At 52.0% G+C, this 4,842-nt stretch overlaps 1 annotated feature.

Moving 5' to 3' along the window:
- Positions 3,185-3,714: an enhancer, noted in NCBI's record as "H3K4me1 hESC enhancer chr1:18925717-18926246 (GRCh37/hg19 assembly coordinates)". NCBI's record gives its function as "activates a minimal SCP1, AML or CMV promoter by ChIP-STARR-seq in primed H9 embryonic stem cells {active_cell/tissue: H9 hESC(primed)}" and the evidence as "EXISTENCE:reporter gene assay evidence [ECO:0000049][PMID:30033119]".

Below are 4,842 nucleotides of genomic sequence, written 5' to 3' on the forward strand. Positions count from 1 at the left end.
AAGCAGAGTGATAAATGACACGAGGGCCCACCTGTGCAGCTACCCAGGGGAAGGTCATTCCAAGCAGAGGGAGCAGCAGTGAGAGTTTAAGGCATGACAAGGAGGCTGGAGAGGAGCTGATGAGGGGCAGGTGCAGTCTGAAAGATAAACAGAGCTGGGCACAGTGGCTCAAGCCTGTAATCCCAGCACTTTGGGAGGCCGAGGTGGGAGGATTGCTTGAGTCCCAGAGTTCCAGACCAGCCTGCACAACATGGTGAAACCCTGCCTCTACTGAAGATACAAAAAATTAGCCGGGCATGATGGCACGTGCCTGTAATCCCAACTACTCAGGAGGCTGAGACAGGAGAATCACTTGAACCTGGAGGCGGAGGTTGCAATGAGCTGAGATCGCGCCATTGCACTCCAGCCTGGGTGATAGGGCGAGACTCTGTCTCAAAAAAAAAAAGAAAAAAAAAAAAAGAAAAGAAAGAAAGAAAAAGAAAAAAAGAACAAAAAAATAAATGCCAATTAGCTGGGCATGGAGGGGCACACCTGTAGTCCCAGCTACTCAGGAGGCTGAGGTAGGAGGATTGCTTGAGCCCGTCAGGTCAAGGCTGCAGTGAGCCATGATTGCACCACTGCACTCCAGCCTCGGTGATAGAGTGAGACCCTGTCTCAAAAACAAAACAAGGCCAGGTGCAGTGGCTCATGCCTATAATCCCAGCACTTTGGGAGGCCGAGATGGGTGGATCACCTGAGGTCAGGAGCTTGAGACCAGCACCAGTCTAGCCAACATGGCAAAACCCTGTCTCTACTAAAACTACAAAAATTATCTGGGCCTGGTGACATATGCCTGTAATCCCAGCTTCTTGAGAAGCTGAGGCAAGAGAATCGCTTGAACCCGGGAGGCAGAGATTGCAGTGAGCTGAGTGCACCACTGCGCTCCAGCCTGAGCAACAGAGCAAGACTCCATCTCAAAAAATAAAAAATAAATAAGTGAATAAATAAATATTGAAAACAAAAACTAAAAAGATAAACAAGGGCAGGGAAGGTTACCCACAGGCCCCGATCCTGTCTTGCTGTCTTTGGTTTTACTCTGAGTGGGAATAACTGCAGGGTTTGAGCAGCGGCATGACATCATCTGACTTGCTTTTAAAGGGATCACTCTAGAAGCCAGGTAGAGAATAAACTACAGGAAGACACGAGGTAGAAACAGGGTGAGGCTCACACGAAGGAGCTTCTTGACTTCAACACTGACAGGCACCCTGCAGATGAGGGTCTGGAAACCCAGGCCTCCTGCCCTCGCCTGCTCTGATGGAATATCTGCCAAGCCAAGTCCAATGGCAGGAGGAGCTAGGGGGCCCAAGGACAAGCTGCCCTTCATAAGAGCAGGGACCCTGCCTCCTCAGCCCCTCTTCTCCACTGCAATATTTGCTCTCTCATGACCAGACACGGAAGCCCTGACCACCGGTAGCTTTGCAGGTGTGGAGGGGTACCTGGGGACAGCTCCCAAGGGCAGGTGCTCCGGGTCAGCTCCTGATTCCAAGGAGAAGGGTGCGGAGTGGCCACTAGGTGACAGCATTGCTCCGCTGAGAAGGCGGCCACGCGCTCCACGGAGTTGGGTGTGTTGAAATCCCAGAAAGAAGGGGCTTCATGGGAAGTCTCAAAACCTCCCTCAGCCCCCTCGCTTTCATGGATGAGGATGGCAGTGAGGAATATGGTGGTGAATTCAGGAATTTCCAAGACAATAAATACTTTTCACATCAATCGCTTCATGTGACCCTTACAGCAAATACTGTGAGCTGGTCCATGGAGGCCTGTTAGTCCACTTTGCAGTGAGAACAGAGGCCCAGAGAGAGCACCGTGGCTGCCGAGCCCGGCCTTCTTCCGAGCTGTTCACCCCTTCCAGAATTGGGCCCAGTGGCAGGGCAGACAGTGGAGGTGGGGGGAGTGAGAAGTCCCTTTACCTGTGTCTGGTGTACAGATCGAGAGCAGCGCTCATAGTTTGGAAGTGGGGGGAGTGAGAAGTCCCTTTACCTGTGTCTGGTGTACAGGTCGAGAGCAGCGCTCATAGTTTGGAGGTGGGGGGAGTGAGAAGTCCCTTTACCTGTGTCTGGTGTACAGGTCGAGAGCAGCGCTCATAGTTTGGAGGTGGGGGGAGTGAGAAGTCCCTTTACCTGTGTCTGGTGTACATACAGATCGAGAGCAGCGCTCATAGTTTGGAAGTGGGGGGAGTGAGAAGTCCCTTTACCTGTGTCTGGTGTACAGGTCGAGAGCAGCGCTCATAGTTTGGGACCCTTTAAGGACCCTCCAGGAGCCGCTCACATCAGTTGATGGAGGGGTATCTAAATTCAACACACATAAAGTCAAAAGTGGCAGCAAAGGAGGAATTATATTTGTCACCGCCTCTCTGTATAAACACGCCACTAATGGTGTCATTATTCATTATCATGCAAAAAAGTGGGGGTGGCTTCCTTTGTGCCTCCCCCAACAGACCTAGTCAACCCCCATATTATAAAGCATCCTATTCCTCTCCTTCAGCACAGAACTAAAGGAAATCTGTTTAACATTCTTTGGTTTTATGTTGTTGTTTTGAGACAGAGTCTTACTGTGTCGCCCAGGCTGAGCACAAACATAGCTCACTGTAGCCTTGACCTCCTGGGCTAAATCGATCCTCCCACTTCAGCCTCCCTAGTAGCTGGGACTACAGGCATTTGCCACCATGCCTGGTTAATTTTAATTTTCTTAGAGATGAGGGTCGCAATAGGTTGCCCAGGCTGGTCTCAAACTCCTGGCCTCAAGAGATCCTCCTGCCTAGGCCTCCCAAAATGCTGGGATTACAGACATGAGCCACCGTGCCCCGCCAGCATTCTCTTAAGTAACTATGGGATTAATGTCGGTCCCTTCCACCAAACTGCTAGCTTCAAAAGAACAGGAACTGGTCTCTGTGCTCGGCACTACAACCTCAGCTCCCAGGACTGTGTGATGCATAGAAAGTGTACAGTAACATGAGTTAATGAATGCGCAAATGTCCTGGCCTAATGTCATGGCCTCCAAGAGGTCTCTCCTGCCGCAAGGTTTTGCAGAGTCCACAGCAAACGGCAATCTGTTGCTGCATCGGGGCCAACTGCCTTCCATGAACCCGGAACTGAAGTCGGTTCCAAGTGAAAAGCTTCCCCGGGTTTGGGCCCGTTCCCCCAGCTGATGGGCAGATAGAGCAGAATGGGAGATGACCCAGCGAGGCTGGCCCCAGCCCCACTCCCGCTCCCCAGCCCATTCACTGGCTGGGAGTCCTGCCCAGGCTGCAGGATGGAGAAGCCGGGAGAGCCTTGCTCGTAAATTACATTTTAGACAGTCTGCTGGGAAGATTAGAATCACACTGGTTTGGAGCCAGGGCTTTCCAGAGTGTCCCTGCAGGAAAAGAGGATCCGGGATAAACAGTGAAAGGGAAAGAGAGAAGGGGAGGGGAAGGGGGAGAAGGAGGTGGCCAGGGAGAGGGAAGAGGGAGGGAGAGAAGGAGAGGGAAGGGAGAGTAAAAAAAAAAAAAAAAAAAAAACAGAGAGACAAAAGACAGGGAGAGAGGGGTGGGGGCGGCGTGTACAACCAGGGCAGTGAAGACCAGAAGCCACAGAGAAGGGCCAGGGGAGACAGAGCTGGACAGAAGGAGCCAAGATTCCTACACAGGCAGGTGGGCTGGCACCACTCCCTCTGCCTCTTGCAGTTTTCCCAATCCTGGGTGCTGAGGGGAGCATGTCCCCAGCGTCTTTCTCTGGCAGAGAAGACTGATGGCCTCACTGGTCCTCAATAACAAGGGAGAAGGATTCTTCCCAACCACAGCCCAGACTGGGGAAGACGTTTCCCCAAGGTCACACAGCAAACCTGGTGGTGGATCCGAGGACTTCAGGTGCTAGGCCGCCACTAAATGCTGTTCTTGGGGTCCCCTTGTTGGAGCAGGACAGGCTTCGAGGACAGACATGTGGAGGACGCACATTCTCGCACTTCCTCGGTTTCCACTGCAGCAGCATCTACCTGTTTCTCACCGCAAGACTCCTCCCCACCACACTGCAACACCTCTGATGGAATGAACTTTGGCCTCAAAATTAAAAAAAAAAAAAATGAGCTCTAGCCTCCAGAAAGAAACAATTTTTTAACTAAACTTTAAGCCCTGAGATCACAGAGGGGCACACCTCTCGGACTGGGATTCAGCAAACCTAGCTTCAGATCCCAGCTCAGCTATAAACTCACTGTGTGGTCTTGGGGTACCCACGTGATGTCTCTGGGCCATATTTTCCTAGAGAAGCAGAAGAGTGGAGTAGTGGTCCCCAAAGGGATCTTTCAATTTTTTAACAATCCTTACCTCCCCCTTGGAAGAAATCCCAAGTAGGGTGCGCTGAGTGAGCACTGGATTGGAAGTCTGGGGCGCCCTAGGTCCCAGGAGACGCAGCTCGCAGCTCTCCCCTCACCTTGGCAGGCCCTTTCAGAGCCAGCAGCACTGGTTAAAATGCAAGCATGGCTGGGCGTGGTGGCTCACGCCTGTAATCCCAGCACCTTGGGAGGCTGAGGCGGGCAGATCACCTGAGGTCAGGAGTTCAAGAACAGCCTAGCCAACATGGTGAAACCCAAACTCTACTAAAAATACAAAACTAGCCGGGCGTGGTGGCGCATGCCTGTAATCCCAGCTACTTGGGAGGCTGAGGCATGAGAATTGCTTGAACCCGGGAGGCAGAGGTTGCAGTGAGCCGAGATCACGCCACTGCACTCCAACCTGGGCAACAAGAACAAAACCCAGTCTCACAAAAAAAAAAAAAAAAAAGCAAGCATGTCTCTTACCTGCTACTGTGTTTGAGCTTTCCTGCAACCCTG

The sequence above is a fragment of the Homo sapiens genome, chromosome 1 (genome assembly GCF_000001405.40).
Source record: "Homo sapiens chromosome 1, GRCh38.p14 Primary Assembly".
Lineage (NCBI taxonomy): Eukaryota > Metazoa > Chordata > Mammalia > Primates > Hominidae > Homo > Homo sapiens.